This window comes from Homo sapiens, chromosome 10 (genome assembly GCF_000001405.40).
Source record: "Homo sapiens chromosome 10, GRCh38.p14 Primary Assembly".
Taxonomy (NCBI): Eukaryota; Metazoa; Chordata; class Mammalia; order Primates; family Hominidae; genus Homo; species Homo sapiens.
The window spans coordinates 88354567-88380137 of NC_000010.11; the positions used below are offsets into that span (position 1 = coordinate 88354567).

General features: G+C 36.9%; 1 protein-coding gene and 1 long non-coding RNA gene across 17 annotated transcripts in view; one reads left to right on the forward strand and one right to left on the reverse strand.

Moving 5' to 3' along the window:
- LOC101929727 (uncharacterized) overlaps positions 1-25555 on the forward strand; it is a 248010-nt gene extending 222455 nt beyond the window's left edge. The window contains exons 1-4 of one of the 2 annotated variants that reach the window (XR_007062226.1): positions 11032-11284; positions 15513-15614; positions 19554-19765; positions 24934-25555. This is a non-coding gene — a long non-coding RNA (uncharacterized LOC101929727). Of the gene's footprint in view, positions 1-11031; positions 11285-15512; positions 15615-19553 lie in introns of those variants that run through there. The other variant, XR_001747537.3, reaches the window with a different exon arrangement.
- RNLS (renalase, FAD dependent amine oxidase) overlaps positions 1-25571 on the reverse strand; it is a 411796-nt gene that overhangs the window by 183044 nt on the left and 203181 nt on the right. For all 15 annotated transcript variants that reach the window (XR_001747122.3, XM_017016382.3, XM_011539924.4 and 12 more), the window contains one exon: positions 7986-8159. Coding sequence is in view for 14 of the 15 variants with exons in the window: in XM_017016382.3 (XP_016871871.1) it covers positions 7986-8159 (174 nt within the window). In the remaining variant the exon portion in view is untranslated. The remainder of the gene's footprint in view (positions 1-7985; positions 8160-25571) is intronic.

The following is a 25571-nucleotide window of genomic DNA, read 5'->3' on the forward strand; positions in this document are numbered from 1 at the left end:
TTTCTGCCGAGAGATCAGCTGTTAGTCTGATGGGCTTCCCCTTGAGGGTAACCGGACCTTTCTCTCTGGCTGCCCTTAACATTTTTTCCTTCATTTCAACTTTGGTGAATCTGACAATTATGTGTCTTGGAGTTGCTCTTCTCGACAATTATCTTTGTGGCGTTCTCTCTATTTCCTGAATTTGAATGTTGGCCTGCTTTGCTAGGTTCAGGAAATTCTCTGGATAACATCCTGCAGAGTGTTTTCCAAGTTGGTTCCATTCTCCCCTTCACTTTCGGGTACACCAATCAGACGTAGATTTGGTCTTTTCACATAGTCCTATATTTCTTGGAGGCTTTGTTTGTTTCTATTTATTCTTTTTTCTCTAAACTTCTCTTCTCGCTTCATTTCATTCATCTGATCATCCATCATTGATACCCTTTCTTCCAGTTGATTGAATCGGCTACTGAAGCTTGTGCATTCGTCACGTAGTTCTTGTGCCATGGTTTTCAGCTCCATCAGGTCCTTTAAGGACTTCTCTGCATTGGTTATTCTAGTTAGCCATTTGTCTAATCTTTTTTCAAGGTTTTTAACTTCTTCGCCATGGGTTAGAACTTCCTCCTTTAGCTTGGAGAAGTTTGATCATCTGAAGCCTTCTTCTCTCAACTTGTCAAAGTCATTCTCTGTCCTGTTTTGTTCCGTTGCTGGTGAGGAGCTGCATTCCTTTGGAGGAGGAGAGGCGCTCTGATTTTTAGAATTTTCAGTTTTTCTGTTCTGTTTTTTCCCCATCTTTGCAGTTTTATCTACCTTTGGTCTTTGATGATGCTGACGTACAGATGGGGTTTTGGTGTGGATGTCCTTTCTGTTTGTTAGTTTTCCTTCTAACAGTCAGGACCCTCAGCTGCAGGTCTGTTGGAGTTTTCTGGAGATCCACTCCAGACCGTTTGCCTGGGTATCAGCAGTGGAGGCTGCAGAACAGGGAATATTGCTGAACAGCAAATGTTGCTGTCTGATTGTTCCTGTGGAGGTTTCGTCTCAGCAGGATACCTGGCCGTGTGACGTGTCAGTCTGCCCCTACTGAGGGGTGCCTCCGAGATAGGCTACTCGGGGGTCAGGGGCCCACTTGAGGAGGCAGTCTGTCCGTTCTCAGATCTCAAACTCCATTCTGGGAGAACCACTACTCTCTTCAAAGCTGTCAGGCAGGGACATTTAAGTCTGCAGAGGTTTCTGCTGCCTTTTGTTTGGCTATGCCCTGCCCCCAGAGGTGGGGTCTACAGAGGCAGGCAGGCCTCCTTGAGCTGCGGTGGGCTCCACCCAGTTCGAGCTTCCAGATCGCTTTGTTTACCTACTCGAACTTCAGCAATGGTGGGCACCCCTCCCCCAGCCTCGCTGCTGCCTTGCAGTTCGATCTCAGACTGCTGTGCTGGCAACGAGAGATGAGCAAGGCTCCGTGGGCATGGGACCCTCTGATCCTTGCGCGGGATATAATCTCCTGGTGTGCCGTTTGCTAAGACCATTGGAAAAGAGCAGTATTAGGGTGGGAGTGACTGATTTTCCAAGTGCTGTCTGTCGCAGCTTTGCTTGGCTATGAAAGGGAATTCCCTACCCCTTGCGCTTCCCACGTGAGGCGATGCCTCTCCCTGCTTTGGCTCATGCTCGGTGTCCTGCACCCACCATTCTGCACCCACTGTCCAACAAGCCCCAGTGAGATGAACCCGGTACCTCAGTTGGAAATGCAGAAATCACCTGTCTTCTGCGTTACTCATGCCGGGAGCTGTAGACTGGAGCTGTTCCTATTCAGCCGTCTTGGAACTGCCCCCCGATTCAATTCTTAAGTGGACAATTTTGTGTTATAAAGTTCACGGCTATTTGTTTAATTGGAATAATCATGAACTCTTTTAAGTGTCACAAGGTGACAGGATTTAAAGCCTCAGGCCCATCCCAGTTATTTATAACATCTCATATTATGTCCTTCTTTTTATAAAGAGTTGACGTAATAAATAGCCATATGGAATAACACTTCTGCATATTTTGCAAAACAGCCATTGAAGGTATTATATATTATATTAGTGTTTGTTACTCAAAGATTCTAACAATAAAATTCTTGTGAGGATAAATTCTATGAATACATTCTAAGTTTGTTCATTTGCTTTTCTTCTTTTAAGATGAGTTGGATTATTTTCTTTGATAAGATATTGAAAACTATGTCATTATGGCTATTGGCCATCACATCTCTAGAATTCAGATAGATTGTCTTAATCTCCTCAGATTGCTGACTATTGGCTATTGGCCATCACATCTCTAGAATTCAGATAGATTGTCTTAATCTCCTCAGATTGCTGCCTATTGGCTATTTTATTGATCATTAACACTCCTCAGATGGTGACAAGGAAAGAATGCTAAATTTCTGATCATTTTCAGGGTTGCTTACTCATTTTATTTATTTAAGTTGCCCTAACTCCTATCTGTATTGGTAACAGAGGCTGCATTCACCTAAGTTAGACTTTTATATTTATGCCCTTTGCTTCAGAGACTATAATATCCAAATTGAAGACTGGAACTGTTAATTATAATAATACGTACCATAAATACTTACTTTCTAAATGCCACACAAAGTCTTCATATGTTCGAATCATTTAATTCTCAGTAACCCTTTGGTATTGGTATGGTATTATTTTACTTATCTTATTGAGGAGGCAACAGATAGTTTAATTTACCCAAAGTTACACAGCTAGTAAATGGTGGAACTGAGTTGAGTCTGGACTCCTGGACAGTCTAACTTCAAATTTAAGATCCTGGGATGGACCTCAGAGATCTTCTTGAGAGGTAAATGTATCTCACTTGTGGCACTATTCCTTATGTTCTCTACATGACAGATATTGCTGATTGTTGGAAGATCTTTTTCTACTGAGTCTATACCCAGCCTGGGAATCATTCTTAGTTGTTGTTCTAGGTGGCAACTACTTATTGAATGATTCTCACTTGTGTTGAAACCTATTTATCATTCACACAGGTATAATCTGTTCCTTTTACAGAACAATTTATACTAAATGTTTTAGTAGAAACTGGCTAGATGTTCACCAAATCCACTTTTTCTTCTTCCTACATATATAGGTAGACTACATTTCCAGCTTTCCTTCCAAATAAGTGTGGTCACATAACTGTGTCCTAACCAACAGAATGTGAGCACACTTGAGGTGCACCATTTCTAGGCCTACCCCTAAAAACTCCTCTGGCTCTCCTCCATCCTCTTTCCATCCACAGATTGATGCCTATGAGCACACTGACTCTGGTAGTTACCTGATGAAGTTGGCAGAGTCAAAAAATGGATGGAGCCTGGGTTCCTAAATAAAGCTTTGAAGAAAGCTACCTATCAATCACAAACACCTGTTTGGGCTTTAGGTGAGCAAGAAATAAACCTCAGTCATGTTCAGGCCATTAAAGTTTTTGGGTATGTTTACTAAAAACACTAGCGTTACAAATACAAGACCTATACAAAAGTACAACAGTAGCATTTTTCAGAACCAGAATCTGAATGTAGGTCTTGTGAGTCCAAATACTTCCCACTACGCCAATCTTACTAATTTTAAAAACTACCCAAGTTAATATGATAAACACCTTATTTTAACATAAATTTTCTCAAATTTTAACTCCATGAAGATTTGAGTTTATTGGCAACAAGGGTTCTTTCATTTCTAAAAAAAATCTCAAGTATTTCCCAATTGATGCCTTCAGGAACGAACCTCCCACTCCAATTATCTGGCCTACAATTCCTGCCCAGGTGTGAAGCATGAAAGGTGACATCAAGTCAGGGTTTCTCAAATATATACTTGGGAACCATTTCTGTGGGATGTTAGTAGGTTTGGTGCTGAAATACAATATCCCATGATAAAGTACATTTAGGAAATTCTAGATTAAAAGAAGTAAAAAGGTGTCTTTTCTGTAGGAATATCCTTTAAAAAGATAATATGTCCTGATATTCTCCAAAATAAATGTCTGTAGTATTTTGCAAATTTATTTGATGACAGAGCCCTTTTTCAAAGAGCAACTCAAGGAAATAGTGTTCCACTGAACACATTTTGGGAAACACAAACAAGGATATTGGGGCATATTCATAACTATTGTTACTTGAAGTCGGTCTAGTACATCTTGGAATCTACTCCCTCTGCCTAAGGAAATTTTGGTTCTGGCTGTGGCTTTCTACATCTACTGTACTACCTATTCCTGACTTCTAACAAATTATTATGCCTTGATCTTTGGGCTACTTCTATATCCTCTAGCTCTCTTCAAGACTTAACAACTGACTGTATTTTGTGGTCTCAACCATGCCAGACTTTGTTTATCTTGTTGCTTCTCTACCTTGACAGAACACAAATGTTTCATTGGTTGTGTATGTACATTGTAGTATTAATTATTGATTCAATCAAACACCCCACATAAAGCAAGGGTGTGGGGTAGTGTTACTGGCATAAAGAAACATCTCCTGGCCGGGTACAGTGGCTCATGCCTGTAATCCCAGCACTTTGGGAGGCCAAGGCAGTTGGATCATTTGAGGTCAGGGGTTCAAGACCAGACTGGCCAACTTGGTGAAGCCCCGTCTCTACTACAAGTACAAAAATAATTAGCTGGGCATGGAGGCGGGCACCTGTACTCCCAGCTACTTGGGAGCCTGAGGCAGGAGAATCGCTTAAGCTCAGGAGGCAGAGGTTGCAGTGAGCAGAGATCTTGCCACTACACTACAGCCTGGGCCACAGAGCGAAACTACATTAAAAAAAAAAAACAAAAAAACTCTTACTGTCCTAGTTAAATATCAATATCAATAAAATAGAGTGAAGTTACATTACATGGGCATTTGTAGTATGCGAATTCAACTAGACCCATTTAGTACCCTGGCCCCCAGATAGTGAGAAAAAAATAGTTTAAATGCAAAGCAGTTAGATTTTACGTTATGAAATGCCATTACTGGCATTCTGTCTCACTTAATTTAAAACTCGCATAATTGAAGATTAATTTCCCATACAGTTGTCAAAGAAAAGCAGGTATTTCTTTGCTTGCTGAAGTGGCACCACCATGGGCTTTAGCAAAAACATGGTTTCCAATTCATGTAGCCACTCCTTTCAATATTGTATGATTGCTGATATAAAAAATTTTTAAAATTCTATTATTTCAAATGCTTCCAATCATGAGATAATTTATTAATATTTTATGTTGTACTCTTTCAAATTTGCATAATTTTATAAATTATTACTGCACTGTACTGTGGGTGCTTTTACCCACCATCCCACTCCATTTTTATAGCAGATGTATAGTCCGTTAGGAGATATGACTCTGCTATTTCTTTCCTTCCTGTGTGCCTTTCATAGTAGAAAATATCACTGGGTCCTATAAATCCAAATCAACTTTTAATCTGGCTTCACCAAAGAAACAGAAATCTATTGAATGTTGGGAAAATAGTTGTACTGAATTTACTGAAAGATGTTACATCATTCTCTAAAATGTCATGTGGTTTTAAGAAACTTTGAAGGTAATTTTGAATGTACATGACTCTTTTTATGTGACAACTTTAGAACTTTACCTCCCATATAAGATGTGACTCTACTTGAAGATAATGGACATTATTGATTGCTAATCCAGCATTTAGTACTTCCTTCCTTCTTCCTAACAAAACTCTATTTTATTCAGGTAGCACTCCTCATAACTAAAGGAAAGATGACCCTAGTACCAGTTCCAGGAGTAGAACTGGACTTGTATAGGCTTATCACATTGCTTCCACCCTCTTTGCTAGCACCTGGTTTTGGAGTACTCAAGTAATCCAATTCTGGCCTGTGGCACATGAGGAGAAGTCTATTAAAGGGCTTCTGTAAAGATTTCCTTGATTAGTATTATTATTTATTGTTATTATTTTTTGAGATGGAGTCTTGCACTGTCACCCAGGCTGGTGTGCAGTGGCACGATCTTTGCTCACTGCAACCTCTGCCTCCTGGGTTCAAGAGTGATTCTCCTGCCTCAGCCTCCCGAGTAGCTGGAATTACAGGCGCTTGTCACCATGCCCAGCTAGTTTTTTGTATTTTTAGTAGAGATAGGGTTTCATTACATTGGCCAGTCTGGTCTTGAACTCCTGACCTCTTGATCCACCCACCTTGGCCTCCCAAGATTTCCTTGATTCTTAGAAAGGAACAGAGCCAGTGATAGTTCATTTCATTCCTAAGCATGTTGTTAAGTTCAGTGTGACTCCAACAGCTATTGCCATCTTGCTGCCAGTCCTCTGAGGATGTCAGTATTGGGAGTGGAAGAGAGCAGAGAAAGATAAAACCTAGGTCTTTGAAGAGATTGCTCAGTTCCTGAATCAATGAACCCTGAAGTCTCTCCAATCTTCTCCTTAGATAATGTATTAGTCAACTCAGGCTACCATAACAAAATACCATAGACTGGGTGACTTAAACAACAGAAATTTCTCACAGTTCTGGAGGCTGAGAAGTCCAAGATCAAGGTGCTGGTAGATTTGGCTTAGCTGGGGCTATCTTCCTGGCTTGCAGACAGCTGCCTTCTTACTATGTCCTCACATGGTGTGTGCAAGCCGGGATAGAAAGAGAGAGCTTTCTCTTTTGCTCTTCTTTTAAGGTCATCAACCCCACAGGGTTAGGGCGCTACCTTTAGGACCTCATTTAATCTTAATTACCTCCTAAAAGTCCTATCTCTAAATACAACCATATTGGGATTAGGGCTTCAACCTATGTCTGTGGAGGAGACACAATTCAGTCCATAGCAGATAATATAACAAATGTCTTTATGCTATTAAACAAGTTTAAATTTTTTTTTCTGTTATAGACAACTTAATACACCCTGACAGATATCATATCTTATGATGAAATATACACAGGATAATGTCTAATTCATGGCATATAACATGAAAAGATCAAGGGTTAGTCTCCTTTTCTCAGAACAAAGCAGTTGTAGAGTTAAAAATAGTCCATTGAAGTTCTAAGGCATTTTATGAACTGCTGATTGTACATATATGTGGTATCATGTTAACATAAACAGTCCAGCCCTAAGGGAGTTTTAAGTTATAAAAGAAACATTTTTCTAAGATCATGAGCTCTGATATAAAAACCATACTCCAGCCCAGTTCTATCATTATGAAGGTCTGGCGAGCCAAGAGACATTAGTTGGTGATTTTATCAAGCCAGACTTCTAACTAATGGCTTGGTGAAGCCATTACTGTCCCATAAAACACTGTAACAGATTGACAGGACAATTCAAGAGTTTTAGTCATTTTACATCCTTAACGGTTATTCCACAAAAAGCAGCATTCTCAGGGATCACTGCAGTCCTACAAATGAGAATACACTTTCTTCACCTTTTTGCCTAAAAGGAATCAGTTATGTTTTTCTTACAATTCAAATCTAATTTTTATAACTATCTTCAACAAAAAGGGTGGAGTGTAGATTCACCACATTCTAGTGAAGCTCTCATAAAACATTTTACCCGTTACATTGTTTATAAAGTAAATTTACCATTTTTCCCCAGATAAAATGTAAATAAACAATAAAATTATATTGAAATGAAGGATTTTCATAACATAGTAAAATTCTCCTTTAATTTCTAGCCGAGGGAGTGGAAGAGCAGCACTTATCAAATTAAAAAAAAATACCCAAACCAAACAAACAAAAACAAACTTCACCAAGAAACAAATGAGAGATACATGTGCATATAGATGCATCCATATTAAAGCAATAGAACTTGGGCCATTTTGAAATCTTAAACCTTCTGACACTATTTTCATGAACTCAGTAATATAAACCATGTGGTGAATGAAATTCTGAAAAACTTTGCTGGTTTCACTGTGTATTTTATTACTGGCCAAATGTGACATTAAATTTTATCCCCTGTGGCTTGGAGTTAAATGCTTGCTCTGTTCAGAATGGCAACACTCAATTAAACAGCATTTTTCATGATCTACACCCACCATTGTTGCTGTATTTAAGGGAAATAATAGGGGTACTGACCTATATTGCGCTTCTTATTATCAATGGAGACGAAGCGTATGCAGGGATTACTGGTGATGTACTGCCCAGCCCAAGGGACATCAATCTTCGTACCAGCTTCATAAAAGAGGCCCAGAGCATATCGAGAGGAGTAGCTCACAGCCTCCAGTTGCTGCCTTTGGCATTCACTAATTACTGTGGAAGAAAAAATAAAAGGCATCAAACTTAAAAATACCATCTTTCCTTTTAGCACATCAAATATAAAATTCCTTTAAACCAGTTACAACAGCTTCCACCAACTCCATCTCACTTACAATGAATTTTGAAAGGTAATGTAAAATAGCACCAGCTCTAATTTCTTTTTGGAATAATTATTAACTTTGGCAAATTGTTTTTATCAAGCTGAAGGTCCACATTCTTTGGAATGGCGTTCAAGGTTCTCAAAATCTGGCTCCAAATTGCTTTTCTAGTCTGGTATCCCAGTCCTTGGACTGTCTGGCCACATTATAGATTCCATACACTGACCCCTTACTACAAGTTAGGGTATTTGCTATATACTTGACATAAGCATTTCACTCTATCATAACAACAGTTTTGAAAGGTAGAGTATTATTTCCAAGTTACAGATGAGGAGGCTGATGCTCCATCTGTTATGACCTCTTAAATTATTCCATGGATACAAGGGGGGAATAACACACACTGGGGTCTGTTGGGGATGGGGGCATTGGGGAGGGACAGCATCAGGATGAAGAGCTAATGGATGCTGGGCTTAATACCTAGGGGATGGGATGATCTGTGCAGCAAACCACCATGGCACATGATTACCTATGTAACAAACCTGAGCATCCTGCACATGTACACCTGAACTTAAAAGTTGCAGAACACAAACAAAAACTGCTACACACACACACATACACACATGCACACAAATTCTTCCATGTCATAGAGTGATTTGTTTGCCTGTCATTTTTCTGCCAGTGGATTATGGGCAGAAAGATGCCAATAATTAAGTCCCTCTACTTAAGCAGAGGGACCACACCTTAGTCATCTTTGTTTATAGGTCCCTACCCTACTCATTACAAGCACACCAAAGATGAAACTTTAAAGGGATAGAAAGGCAAACACAGACATGCAAAGAAATAATGTCTGTGTCAACTTCTTCACAAAAGAAGTTGAAATGTAGGAGGTAAATAATAGGAAAAGCCTGGAAAAGGAATTGAGCAGGTTTAGGTTCAAATCCTGACTCTCCACTTACCAGATATGTGACACTGGTCAAACTACTTAATTGCTCTGATTATAGTTCTCTTGTCTATACTGGCAATAATAGTACAGAATGCATTAGTCTGTTGTGAGGATTATATGAAATAATGCATAGCACAGTGCTTGGCATATAATAAGTGTTCATTAAATAGTAACTTTTTCTACTATAGATAGAAAAAATATTTAGGAAAATGGGACAAGAAAAAATACTTAGGAAAATGGGACAGTGTTCCATCTTGAGGTGGGGAAAGAAGACATTTCTTCTACTTTTTACTTTCTATCTCCAATACCCCTACCTTTAAGGTCTCAGGGAGCTGCTTGTTTATGTATGTACAACATTAATAGTTTGGGTTTCAGAGAAGGTCATAGTTCTGTTCTGCCTTAGGAAGGCTCATTCAGACATGGAACATATGAGAAATTCTCATTTAATTGGGGTAAAATATCCTAATCTACAACAGTAGGGATAAGTGAACCTCAAGGATGAGGGGGAAACTTTAGTTAAATCTTACAGAAGTGGCTTTAGGAGGTAGAGAGAGGCAGGAAAGGGATTCAATAAATTATTATAGCACAGTAATAATCCTATACATTATTTCAGCTACAAAACATTTTTAGAACCATGACCTCATTTAGTCTTCACAAAAGCCATCCTCATTTTACATCCCCAGGAAGGTGAGATTCAGATTGGTTAACTAACCTGCTTTAGGTTACAAAGCTTCCAGATTGCGTGGTCAGGATGAAGGTAGAGCTCCCATATTAGAGTTACACATATATTCTTACTACCCTATACTTTCCTCTGCTCATCTGCAAGTCTGAGTTTCAGAATAAACTTTGACATTGCTTTCTCCTGTGACATTAATGGCTATTTTGTATTCATAAATAAAAGCCATATTTCCCTTTAACTATAATTTTCTGCCTTATTAAAAGCTGTAACTACTTGATGAACGAATGATCTGACATTGGCCTCATTACACTCAATGAATTTGGAACTTCATTTTTTAATTTAATCTGCTTTTAAAGTTATGGCTTGATATTATAGTTACTGTTTTCTAAGAGGGAGGAGGTGAAACATTAATGCTAGCAGCTGAGCACATAATCACTGTTTCCCATTTTTTAAATAAAAAAACAAAACAAAACTGTGTAGTTAGCTACTTAGTAACTGAAAGGGCCTAAAACTTTTATTTTTTTTAACCAACACTGAAGGATCAATAGGTTGACAACCAAATTGGTCCTCTCCCCACCCCCCTTTTTGCTAGCTTTTAGACAAAGTGCCAAGTGGTAAATCCCACTAGGTAGCCCTTTGAAAAGGTAATTGATATCTATATAGAAACAGCAATTAACCTTACACACCCTTGTCTATTCCAGGGGCTCTACAATTCATTCCGAGAACAGGGAGGTGAGACTTCTGACTGAAACAATCTCAATTTCTGGACATTCACTGACAAAAACTTTGTCTTCAGAGGCTTAAAAGTTTTTTATTCTTGCAAGGCGGGCAAGATCTTAAAAAAAAGTCTTACTTTGTTTAAAAAAGTTTCTAGTGCAAAATACTAAAGAAACCAGCCCTAGGTCCCACATATTTTGGCAAGCAAAACAATATTCTTTCTTATCATGTTTTCAAATAGAACAAACGACCACAAATCAAGGCTTATATAAAAAGGCCCAATTCCAATATAATAAATCTTTACCTGGCTGTCATCCTCATTTAATTCTCAGCCAATAGGATTATATAACACACACACACACACACACACACACACACACACACACACGTACGTATATGTAGGATATGTTATATATTATATATAACATATCTTACACATACATAATATAAAATATATTTTATGACTATGAGTAAAATGGCTAAAAATTGTAGTGAACAGAGTAGTTCACATGCATACTTTCATTAATGAGGAAAATTGTTCTTATTTCATTCTCCTTGTGCCAGTGTCTTTGTGTGCATGAGTGGGTTTGTGGGAGGTGAAGAGCAGAGGGAGAAAAAGAGAGAGAAGAGGAGGGTGAGAGAGAGGAACAGAAGACCTGGCTGTACTCCTGAATAACACTGAGTAAGTAATTTCATTTTCTTTGTTTCCTCACATAATTTTATTCTCTTAGTTTCCAAACCTATAAAAGAAGGCTAATAATACATATTCTGCCCATTTTCTACATTTTTTGGTGACAATCAAATCAATCTATTCATCCATCCATCCATCCATTATGCCATGCACTTTTCTAGACGTGAAGGCTGTAAAGCAGAAAGATAAAGTCCCTGCTCTCCTGTAGCCTACATACTCGTGGCAGAAAGGCCATTATAAATAAATAATCAAGTAAATGGTATGTCAGTTGGTGATAAGAACTATAAGGAAAAATAAAGCAGGTAAAGGGATACATAACAGGTTTGAGTGAGGCTATTTTATATAGACTGTCAGGGATATGTGTTACCTCTGAGGATTTTACTTGGATTTACACGGGAAGCTACTACTCGTTATGAGCCAAGGACAGACATGGCATGCCTTCTGTCTTAAAATTCTCATTCTGGCTACTGGTGAAGATACAGGGGTGCAAGAGTGGAACTGGGGCAAGCAGCTATTGCAGAAGTCTTAGATTAGAGAGAACAGTAGAGGAAGCCAGAAGTGGCTACAGTTTGGATGAAATATATAGGTGTGTGTGTGTTTGTGTGTGTGTGTGAATATGTGTATATACTCTTAAATAAAAATTATGAGAGGCTATTGATTTGGGCTAAGATCTTGTACTAGGTCCCAATAGTCCAACCTAAACTGGAGTCACTCATGCTAATGTTCCTGATCACCAAACCAAAACCTAAGCTGTTTACTTGCAAGGTCTGACCTGAGAGATTAGGGGAGAAAGTAAGTTTTCTGAAAAAAAAAAAAAAAAAAAAAAAAAAAAGGAAATCCACAGCAACCAATTAAAAGGGCCCAGTCAACCTGAGCTGAGCGGGCATAATAACCAAGTCCCCTCTGCTTTAATCCATACAAGGAGAGTAACCTTTAGTAACCTGATGTTAACCAATTTACCTTTTGCACTAGATGTTTCCTTGTTCCCGCTCAAGTTGCCTTACAAGAACCAACTCACGGCCAGTGGAGCTCTCTATTAAACCAATTCACTGCCCATGACTTCATGGCCAGTGGAGCTCTTGTCTATTTTATAGACTGGATGCTGTCTGGTTCATGAATTGCTAATAAAAGTCAACTAACTCATTAAAACTTCATTTGTTGAAATGTTGTCATTTCACATACATGCACACAATATATGTACACATAAATATATAATATATATAATGTAAATTTTAATAGAGGTTTAACATACATAGAGAAAATTATGCCTTGATGAATTTTCATAAAGTGAACACATCTGTAAAACTGGCAGTCAGATCAAGAAACAGAGCATTACCAGAACCCCAGAAGCTACCTTCTGCTCCTTTTCCAGGCACTCTCTTCCTGCTGCAGGTAATCAGTAATCAATTCCAACATCATAGATTACTTTAGCTGTTTTTGAACTTTACATAAACAGAATGATATGGTATATATTTTTTGTGTCTGGCTTCTTTCACTCAATATTATGTTTGTTATATAAATGTTGTTAGATGTAGTTGTAGTTAATTAATTCTCATTGTGGGACAGTATTGCTTATACGTATACACTACAAGTTACTTATCCATTCCACTGTTGATGAACATAGGGATTGTTTGTAGATTTTGGTTATTACATATTTAATGTGAAGAACATATGTATGTGATTCTCTAGTACTGGAATTCCGGAATCATGGAGCGCACTTAATTCAGCTTTAGTAAATACTGCCAAATGGTTTTCTAAAGTGATTGTACCAGTTTGTACTTCCACCAGGTGTGTATGAAAGCTGAGTTGCTCCACATTGTTGCCAGAATTGGCTACTATCTGTCTTTTTAATCTGGGATGTAGAGATACTATTACATTGTCGTTTTAATTTGTATTCCATGGTGACTAATATTTGAAAATCCTTGCATGTTTGTCATTCATATATGCTTTTGTCACTGCCTGTTCAAATCTTTGCCCATTTTTCTTTTGGGCTGTCTTTTTCTTATTGTGATATAGGAGTTCTTTATATATTGTGGATATGAATCTTAAATATGAATTTACTTAAAACTTCCTTCCTAAGTGGCCTGCCTTTTAACCCTCTTAATAGTATGATTTGATGAATAGAGTTTTAATTTTAATATAGCCTAACTTATTTTTTTCATTTATAGTTAACACTTCTGTGTCCTGCTTAAGATGTTTTTGCCAATAGCCTACTTCAAGATCATAAAGATATTTTCTTATGGTTTTTTTTTTCCTGAAAACTTTATTAGTTTACATTTCATGAGATTTTGGATATATTTTAAAGTAATAGGCAGCCAGGATTCCTATTGGCTTTGAAAGGTGGTGTGAGGGAAAGAGACCAAATATATCGAATACTACTTCCCCTCATCCACCCTAATTTAATAAATGATAGCTTTATTATCCTATTATTTTGGAAATTACAATATAAAAATAAGACACTAGATTGTAAGCAACTTGAGGCAAAGACTGTGCTTCATGAGCTTTGTATGTCCAGGTCCCAGGACAGTGACTAGTGCAACAATGGCATTCAATAAATATTAATGAATATATCCTCATTTCAGAAAATTTGGCAAGTAGGCAAGGATATAAAGAGGGAAAATGTAAAAATATCACCATATTTTCATTATTCTGATAAGTAACATTTTGATATTTTTCCTTTAGTGTGTTATGTTTTTTCTCTAAACATGGTTGTGATCACATCGTACATATAATTTTGCGTACCGAATTTCTGCTTACCATAAGACCAAAAGCCCTCATTGTAAATATTTTAATGCCTCTATAATATTTGATGAAATGTATGTTGCATAATTTGGTTAATCGTTTCATTAATGTTGAACATTCGTTTCCTTTTTTCCTTTATAATTAACACTATTATGCACATCTTTGTGCAGATTTTTATCTATGTTTCTAATTATTTCCTTAAGATAGATATTGAAAGTGGAATTACTGTTAAATAGATTTTCAGAAACACTATACCAATTTATAGTTTCTATTAGTGGTATACAAAAGACCCATTTCACTGTATCCTTGCTTATATTAAGTAATTTTTGTTACTTGCTAGGAAGAATAGATCTCGCTTTGGTTCTAATATAGTAAGACTAAACATTCTTCATATGACTAAAAGCCCATATATATTTTCTCTTTTGCAAACAGTCTGTTCATGTCATTTTGCTAACTGGTCTATTAGATTCTTCATGTTATTAAATTGATTTCTATTAATGGGTGATATAGGCATTCTAAATTTATTGTATATTATAAAATTTTTCCTGTTTACTTTTTAGTATTGCATATATTATAATATTTACATGGATAATCAGTTTCTTTCCTCCCTCCCCATGACTCTTCTTTCTTTGAATAGACAAGAAGTCTATTTATGCTGGTTATTCTTGCTCTCCCATGTCCATTCCTTGCCCTTCTCTGCTTTGATCTGTGCCCAGGGAGACTGGCCCCTTTATGGGCTGAATTCCCTAGAGTTCTGGTTTCTGGAAGGTTTTGGTCAATTGGTGACATAGGCAGGGGATTCTCAGGTAGGAGACAGAGGCTGGGATATTGATTCCTCCTGTTCCTTCCTGCTTTGCCAGGTGTTGGCAATGGTGAGCTCCTTTACAGCTAAAGTTCCTTTCAGGTGGCTCTTTTCCCCTGGTTCCAACTCTCATGGGGCATTGATTGGTAACCTTTTCTTCCCTCACCCATTTAGGCCTAGGAGTAGTAACGGCTTCCTGCTGTTACTAGTTCCTAGGTGCCACAACATCCCTGGCTGGCTGCCTTAACCGTGCCCACTGTTTTGTAAATACCCCTTCCTTAAATTCTTTTTTTGGAGACAGAATCTCACTCTGTTGCCTAGGATGGAGTGCAGAGGTGCAATCTTTGCTCACTGCAACCTCCGCCTCCTGGGTTCAAGCTATTCTCCTGCCTCATCCTCCCAAGTAACTGGGATTACAGGCACATGCCACACACCTGGCTAATTTTGCGGGTGTGTATTTTTAGCAGAGACAGGATTTCACCATGTTGGCCAGGCTGGTTTTGAACTCCTGACCTCAAATGATCCACCCGCCTTGGCCTCCCAAAGTGTTGGGATTACAGGTGTGAGCCAGTGTGCCCAGCCCCTTAAATTCTTTACATAAAACTCTTTCACATATACCATCTATTTCTTGCTGGGACCCTGACTGAAACAATATTTAACTATATTTTCATCTAGCTTCTTCTAGGAAAGCACTCTGAAGCCAAGTTGAAACATTATACTCTCAGGCAGTAGTAGAGATCAACCTCTTAAAACCAAATCCATGGGCCCAGGAGTATGGTAAGAATATTTTGCAATTTATAAAGGTCTATTTTTTCATAAGTAAATAAGGTACTGCTTTCAGATGCATTTCTCTTCACATTATACTGACTTTGAGGGCATGATTATGAAGATTTTAATGTTAATAGTAAAATAAACACTTTTAAAAAGTGTATCAAGGTATTTATTACCAATATTATAGTTATTGTTAAATGCTGCTCACATTGATACTTGGTGCTCAAAGCCTTTAAGCTCCCACCAGAAGTTTTGTTGTTTACAGCTAATTAGAGAAGATCGCTAATTTCCTGATTTACCACCATATATAAAGCATTTTAGCTCAGGGACAGCTGAAGTTAGGAAGCCAATTTGTATTATAACTAAGTTCTGATCAAGGAAACAGCTCTTGATTTAGTTATTACCTTTATTTTTTATGGTGAATTCCAAGAACGTCAAGAAATGTTGTGCACGAATTCAACTCCTTAGATTAGATCATCTAGCTTTGTGCACTTTGTGGGTACACAAGGACAATAGTATCTTAGCCAGAATAGCTGGTTCCTCTTGACTCAAAGTGGCTGTAGAAATAGTGCTGAAAGTCCCATTTTCCATAAACAGTTCTCCTAGCAGACCAGGAGAGTTTGAAATTTTACCACTCATGAGTCACTCCTTTCCTATAAAAGCACGGAATCAGTCTTGTTTCACTTCACCTGGAATAAATTGAATGTTAACTTGGACTCTATAGGTATAGAAGTCATTAGGGCTAGAAGCACAGTTTTAGAAATAGTCTTGGCAAGCAATAAATCTAGAGTTTATTGGTGACAGACTTCAGCAGTTATATCTATGTGGGATTTCCCTGAGGAAATATTTCTTTCATCCTGAGAAGCATCTCTGGAGTCAGAAAAATTTGGGTTTGAATTCTGTTTCTGACATTTATCTGTGTGACATTGGACGAGCTACTTAATCCCTCTAAGCATCTGTTTTCCTGTAAAATAAGAGTAATAATACTGCCTGCCTTAAAGATTGTTAAAAAAAATTAAACAAGATAATAGTAAGTGTTTAACACAATACCTAGCACATAACAAGTGTATTGCAAAAATCCAACATGACCGTACTTGATTTTAAAAGCCTTCAGGGGTGTCTATGTGTATATCACACTTTAGAAACGTTTTAAAAAAGCCTTTAGAGGTGGCATCCTAATAGTCAAGCATATCAGGACGATACTAAATCAAAGACACGTCTTTGTCTAGTAAACTGCACGGCTACACTTCACTTTTCAGAGTAGAGAATAAAAACAAAACAAAACAAAACTTTACGGAGTATTAAGAATGTCAAAAGTATTTCGGGCAATAATTTTTGAAAAATTAACATACATTGTGGAATTCTTTGGTTATCTTTCTACTTTAGAAGGCTGAATGTTCAAAGATTTGTCTTTGGAAATTAATGAAAACCAAATTTTGGATCATTACTCTAGCATTATATTTCTTAATCCTATCTCACAATCGTATAAAAATAAAGGGCACCAAAGAAGTGGCTTTCTCTGTATTGCCTTCTGCTCACTAGAGATTATTTTCTGGTAAACATTTAGGATTAAGCTGTTTTTACACTCGTGTTTATGGAGAATGCTAATCATTACCTGAATACAAATCATGACTTGAATACACCGTCTAACAGGTAAATTCCGCCTAGTTATGCATAGCTGGCTTTTTTTGGAAGTTGTCAGAAGGAAAGCATTGGTGTTATAGGACAATAAAGTTCATATCTAGCAAGATAAAGTTATCTTAATGCTTCCCAAATTGTGTGGGACCCTAACAATCAATGCTTTAAGTGGCATTTAAAAGGAAAGAAAAGAACATAAAGACACTTGAAGTTTCTAAAATACAATAATACTTAATAGATCATGACTTTTGTTCCCATAGGATAAAAATAAACAAGGCATTTTTTTAGAAGCAAGTTCTTCAGCTTCCGTGATTAAACAGGTGATCCTGCCATACTGGGGGCAGATGTCATGCCAAAAGGCCTTTGCAGCATTGTAAAGGCTCAAACTGTTAGTGTGTTACCAGTATTTGTGATTAATCAGGTCCCCTCCCCTCTCCCCCTGGCAATCAGGGAGCGTTTTCTAATCCCTGCTGATTCCCTATCTTTTTAATCATAAAGAACAATCTGTCAAGGAAAAAAGGGTTTTCTCTCTAGTCCCTGCTTTACTGCCTTTTGCCACTCTGTCCCAGCAGCCATTGTAAAAGACTATCTAGCTATGTAGATGTGACGGTAGCTGGTTTTTCATAAAATCTTATGACTTTCTCCCAATCATATGAAGTCTGCTGCTTTACAAACTACCCACTCTTCTCTTTATCCGGAGGTCCTGTGAAACCGAAATGACATTCAGTCGTTTCTATAGCAACACGTTCTAAGCATGGGATTAGAAAAAAATGAACATTTTTAAACGCAGGAACTGTTTTCTGAAACCAAGAAAGATTAGTTAACTCAAGCAACATTATTGTAGGCCTACTATGCATCCAGCACTATGCTAATCACTATAAAAAATCTCTCAACCACTTAGCAGAGTCTAGAATTAATTTTGGACTGACATGTAAAATAATTTCACTCTAGTTATTATCAGTTTTATCCTTGGGAATCTTCTCTTCACGTATTTGGCTTTCTTGTTTTCTTTACAGAACACATACACTAAGTCTGCAAACCACAATAATATGGTTGGAAAATGCTTTCCTTATTTCCATGCATTCTAAACTTTTTAGACTATTATGCCATCATTCTTTTTGTTGGGAAAAATGCTGAGTTTCAGATGGGCAAGAACATGAAAATAAAACATTGTGTGTGCTATTATACAAAATGTCACAGAATATCATACATATTTATTTTACAGCCACTCTTCCCAGCCTATCCATCTAATTACTTTATGGCCATGCCATTCATGAGCAATATAGTCATTCTAAAATCCATAACAATAAAAACTTTATTACATGTCACCTCATATTTTTATACAGATACATATTTTTACATTTATGGCTAGAGATACTTTATACCAAGGCAATGACTTGGAGAATTAATATTCTAATTAAAAAGTTTTATAGTTTTGGAAATCAGAAAGCACTGTTTGCAAACACCTGAAATCTGTGGTATTGAAGCAAAACATCAGAATCTGGTGGTATAAGCTCTAGGACACTAAACAATATGTTCATTTTGTACTTTGCAGATCCACTAGCTTCTTTTCTGTTTACATAATAACAACTCTTCACAAAGCTTAGCTAAAGCCAAAGCAAATAAACTAAACTTGGGAATAAAAAGTGTAAGAGGCAACAGCCTTCATCTTGTGGAAGCCTACAGCATTTTATTTATTTTAAAATTATGCTTTCATAACTAACAAAAATCTCAATTTGATGAAAAGCACAATTATTTTTGATCTTCATATCAGCCTACCATTTCTTTGCAAATTAGCTTTTATCTTCATATCAGCCTACCATTTCTTTGCAATGTTTTAAAAGTTAATTTTATTAATGTACTGGTGTTCACACATTAGTAAAATATTGTTCATTTTTCTTGGTTATCTTTGTTTCCATATTATTATCTTTGTTTTGTTTCCATAATATGAAAATGGGTGATTGAAATAGGTTTCAATCATTTTCCCTTATTTCCCACCTGAGATTCACGTCACTGCAAATGCTGAACCTGAAAAATTTGATGATGGAGGTTATTTTTAACTGAACACTTGCATTTCTGACCCTCAGCAAAAGACTGTGTGTGTCTGTATAAATAACTGTATAATAATATAATGTGATGTACAAATCTTATATCACTGAGCTTCAGTTAGCCCCATCTGTTAAGCAGAAGTATGATCTACCTTAAAGGGCTGTTATGAAGATTAGAAAATTAGAAATTTTATATATTAATATATAGCTGACACAAAATAGGGGCAAAAAATAATAACAATTATTGTTATTGTTGCAGGAAAAGAGTTCAATAAAATGGCCTTAACTGGTATAAGAAGTTACAATTGTTAAAAGGAGATTCAGCTGTGATAGCAAAAGAGAAAGAAAATGAAAAAGTTGTCCTGGCTCATCTCTGGAAAGACATGATATTTCATAACCTCAAGGTGTTTGCTTCTGACCTATAACTTCAATTATAGACCAGGTTATCCAAAAGTTCTCCTTATTAACAAGGTATCTGTTTTTACCAGGTGTCTGTTATTAATTAGTTAGTATATAATTTAATGCAATTAACCAAAGCACCTCTTATGCCTAGAACATAGCAGGTGGTTTACTTCTTTCTTATGACATATTCAAGACTCATGGTTTTCCCATTTTTAGAGTCAAAAACATAAATTCCTCCTTTTGCTTTCCTGCGCTAACATATCCACCTCACACACCTGTTTACTCTTTGTTTGCAGGGAAATGTGTACATCTGCTAGGGCGTGATCTCGATGATGAGGTGACATATGGGATGTCATTCCATTATTTAAAGAACAAATTCCAAAGATCAAACTTTTCTCCCCACACTTGTGAGTGATACATGGGTCTTCTCAGGGACATTAAAATGGAGCTAGTCTCACTGATTTCATGGACATTTAGCATACAATTATTGAGTTACCTGCTGAAATCTCTTCATACATATCTGGTTTCACCCTAGGTTATGAATATCCATGCAGACTATTTTTCCAAGCTTCTACGCAACTAACCTTGGCACTTACCCCCAGCTCAGGCAGCAAGCAAATTATTCTGGCTTGATGTCCATCTGATGGTTTACTCTTGCTACCTCCTACTCCCTACTATAACCACAAATGACCTCCTCCCCACTTGCTCTCATTCTTACCAGAAGTTTTCAGTTAACAGCTCACTACTAAGCCAGTTTCCTTCTTAAAGTATATATATCCTTTTAAAATTTCCAGTCTTGTTACTCTCTCTCTTCCTCTTCAATTTCTTGTCCTGTTGTCACAAGATCTCTTCTTAGCTCACCAAATTATCTTCTCTTCCCTTTCTCTTTTATTCCATTTATGAACAAGACACCAACTTCTACCACAACAACAGAACAAAACAACCCCTAGCTTCAAAGAGAACAAAAAAACCCCAAAATAAATTAAAAATGGCTTTAATGCTTAGAGTTGCAGGGACAAGAAAAACCACATTCTTTTAAAATGAAATTAGATGTCATAAAGGACTATGAACTAGTAAGAGTTCCCCGAAGTCCCCTTCCGAATCTCACAAAAGACTCCATCTCCTTCTTCATCTGGCTTTTTGTTAATAACCAATGTCCAATATAAATAGAAACATTGCTTTGTTTTGATTGTATTGCTCTTTCATTTGTGCAAATGGTAGTATTTCTATTGTATCAATGATAAACTTTTTCAGGCAAGCCTGAGATGGCAGATTACAACATTATTTCTATGGGAACACCCATTCCTAATTGGAAACAATCAGATTACCAACAGAGAGTTCATAAACTGAGAGCTGCCTGCAATGAGAACTGATTTACACTCTGGTTTCTAATTTAGAAACAATTTCACTGTGCTAGTTTCTCCTTTTGCACAAAGATTTAGGATGGTGCAGTAGGGTAAGGAAAAATGGCTTCCCTTCAGTCTGCTAGGTTCTTTGGCTGGGCTACAAATTAAATTGCCATAAAACAGATTAATAGGAGAAAACCATATTTAATAACATGTATGCATGGGAGTCCCATAAAATATGGGATTGGAAGAAGGATCAGATGATTATATAGCATCCTGAGGTACAGAAAGGAGTAGGGGCTTGGCACTTCCAGGGGATGGTGGCAACACAAGCAATGGGAGGATAAGGGGAGACAATGTATGGTGAATAAATGGTTGTCTTACGCAGACATAAGGTCTCTCACGTAATACAAGTTATCTGGGAGCAGCCCTCAGAAAAATAGGTGTTAATCTGTGGGGTCATGGTGTCCACCTCCAATCTCCTCTCCTGTGATCGAAGTTAATCTTCCTTGGTTGATAAGATTCCCAGGGAGGGGATTCATGACAATTTAGTTCCTTTTGGGGGCTGTCTTTAGGAAGACTAAAGGGAGCTCAGAGGAAGCCTCTGCCGGCATCCACTGTTCCCCAAGTGTCCTCAGTTCAAAGCAATAAACATACCAATGTGTCATATTTTGGGGTGGCATTTCCTGAATCCCTTTAGTGAAAAAAGGAGAAAATAAGAATAGGCACCTCATAGAAAAATTTACCTCTATTTCAAATAATGCATATTGGGAAATTGAATTGAATGATGAAGCAAATAAAATATTTATTTATTGTATGTAATATAGATGAGTCAATGTCGCTTTGAGAAATTTAACTTTTTAATTTGCTAACTTGGTGTTTGTATTGCATTAGCAATTGCAAATGAATATTATTCTCTTGCAAGTGTCAAAAAGATAATGTTGTGGGGAAAGCAGCTCCAACTGTTACTCAGGCATGGCTGGAAAAAGCTTGCACTCTTCATTGTCTTTTTCTAGTCACTGAATCGCCAGCTTTATTTCTATGGTGGCAGGTATACCAAAATCAGAATGGGATTACACTCACATATTAGTATATACAGCAACCTGCCTGTGTGAAATATATGCAAATCTTCCCCTACATACCATGTAGTTAACTCTACAATGAACAATATATAAATATTGTGGGTAAAGTAAATCAATATAAAATCATACATTCACATTCACAATATTTTAAAAATATCAAAATGGTTTTGGCTAAGAACATAAAACATTTTATTTTTGGAAAAGGAAGTCTGTTTCAATAGTCTTGTTAAAAATACTACCATATAAACTATGCACTTAAGATACAAAAAAAGAGTAACACTTAACTTCATAAGAAATATCAAACCATTTATTATAAATTATTCATTAAACGTAGTGAATTATTTTATATGGGAAAATTCTCTTTGAAATAATATTTGTATGGCTTCCTAAAATCAGACAAGGTTAGCTACACTTGAGTTTCTTACTTTCTTGCATATAAGTCAGAAATATTCTTTGAAAAGCTCAAATACAAGATAAGGTGTATTCTCCACATCTCTGTGTGTGTGTGTCGCATGCATGCACACACATTATCTCCACATACACACACATATACACACACACACACACACGCACACATCCTTATTGTTATTTTCTTCTCATCTTCTAAATGTATTTATTTGACTCCCAGTAGAAGACAACTGTAAGCTACAGGGAAAAAATGCAATTAAATTTATGTTCAGAAGAACATAAACAATGGGAATATGTTCTGAGAAATTCATCATTAGGTGATTTTGCATTATGTGAATATCATAGAGAGTACTTACACAAATGTAGCTAGTATAACCTACTACATACCTAGGCTATATGGTCTAGTGGATTGCTCCTAGGCTACAAATCTGTACAGATGTTACTGTACTGAATACTACAGGTGACTGTAACACATGTTACGTATTTGTGTATCTACACATAGAAAAGGTACAATAAAAATACAGTGTAGAAGATAAACAATGGTACATGTGTATGGACACTTACCATAGATAGAGATTGCAAGATGAAAGTTGCTGTGGGTGAGTCAGTGAGTCAATGGTGAATGAATGTGAAGGCCTAGGACATTGCTGTAATCTTCTGTAGACTTTATATACACTGTACACATAGGCTACTCTAAATTTATTTTAACAAATTTTCTTCAATAATAAATTAATCTTAGCTTCCTTAACATTTGTACTTTGTAAACTTTTTTTTAAACTTTCTCTTTTGTAATAACACTTAGCTTAAAACACACATTGCATAGCTGTACGAAAATATTTTCTTTATATCCTTATTTTATAAATTTGTATTTTTAATTTTTTTTTTACTTTTTAAGCTTTATCATTAAAAACTAAGACATAAACACACAGATTAGCTTAGGTATACACAGGGTCAGGGTCGTCAATATCACTGTCTTCCACCTCCCCGTACTGTCCCACTAGAAGGTCTTCAAGGAGCATTAACACACATGAAGCTGTTTATCTCCTATAACAATGTCTTCTTTAGGAATACTTACTGAAGGAACTGCCTGAGGCCATTTTACAGCTAACTAAAAAAAAAATAAGTCTAAGAAGTACACTCTAAAATAATGATAAAAAATATGGTATTGGAGCTCAGAAAACAGTACCTCAAAAGGAAGGCCTCAGAAGCAAAAGGTTCTCCCTGATCTTTTGCCATCCTGTTTCTGGCCACTCATTCTCTCTTAAGGCTGGCCATTGAAACTAGAATCCCTTCTTCCCAAGGCACGTCATAGAAACCAGAACCCTTTTCCCCAAAGCCAGCTTAAAAATATTACTTTAACTTAAAATAAAATTTTAAAATATTACTTTAACTCCCACCTCACCCCTGCCTTTCTGTATAAAAATTGGCCATAAAAAATTATCTCACCTACCTTGTTTGACTGTAGGTCATAAGACCCCCCATTCTAGAGAGGCTCCTGCCCCTTACCCAGAAGTAAGGAACGCTGCACAGAAAGGCCAGGAAGAATCTAAACAGACAGGCCTTACTGGGTTCTCCCACTCAGTCTATTAGCATTAGATCATACCCTTTTTGTCCAATCATATTTGCACATGCTATACATACTTTGTTGAACCAAAGTATAAAAATGGACTGTTTCCTTCATCTTTGTGTCTTCATTCTAAAGGCTCCCAAGTCATGTAAAATTATAATAAATTTGTATTTGCCTTTTTTATTAATCTGCTGTTTTGTCAGTTGATTTCCATCAAACCTTCAGAGGGTGAAGGAGAAGTTTTCCCTGGGTCCCTACAATAGTATAGATAAATACATAAACCAGTAACATAGTCATTTACTACCACTATAAAGTATTATGTACTGTATATATTTGTATGTGCTATACTTTTATATGACTGGCAAAGCAATAGGTTTATTTACAGCAGCATCACCACAAACATATGAGCAATGCATTTTGCTCTGGCATTATGATGGCTACAACATCACGAGGTCATAGGAATTTTTCAGCTCCATTACAATCTTATAGGACCACTAGTGTCATTAACTGGAATGTTGTTGTGTGGCACTTGACCATATATGTTTTAATGTTGAAGAGTGAATTAAATTAATAACAGGGAATTTCTTTGCTTTGGTTTACTTAAATGTGAAAATGGATTGCTATTTAAGCAGAGTGTACAAAATAAATACTTTTTTCACATTCTAGTAAAATGGCCAGTTTAATAATATTTTGAACAAAAAAAATTCCCCCCAGACCAAGGTGTTTTTTATTTAATAGGGAAAAATAGTGCTAAAATTTCAAATGATTTTTTTTTTCTTTCTTTTCTGTCACTCCTCTGGCTCTTTTTCCCAATGAATGAATGAACCTGGGAAGAATTATCAGTCTGATACGTGGTAAGTAAGTGGTTTCTAGGTATTTAATATGCCTTTTCCTGATAACTAATTTGCCAGATAGATTTTCCAAAAATGGTTGCAACAATATCTCCCATCCCTGATTCTCTTCTTAAATATGACTTTGACAACTTTTCTATCAAGAGGTAGGGTCTATATCCCCTTCCCTTGAAACTAAGAGGGTCTGTGGTTAAGGCAGAACTGACACTCAGTGACTTTTGAGCTAAGTCATAAAAGATGATACAACTTATGGCTGGTTCTGACTCAATCTTGGAACCCAGCCATCATGTTGTGAAGAATCTCAGGACATTTACAGAGGCTTCATAGGTTTCTGGCAGACAGCTCCAGCTTACAACAGCATCAACCAACAGACTTGTGAGTGAAGATGGCTCCTGAAGGTATCAGCCCCCCGCTGTCCAGTCACCTCCCAGCTTTTGAGTCTTTCCAGCCGAGACCCCAGACACCAAGGCACAGAGACAAACGTCTGCATTGTAACCTGTCCAAAATTCTGACCCACAGAGTTCTTGGCATAATATAATGATTGTTTTATGTCACTAAAGTTTGGAGTGGCTTGTCACATTGCAATAAAAAATTGCAACAACGAAGGAGGTTGATTATCTT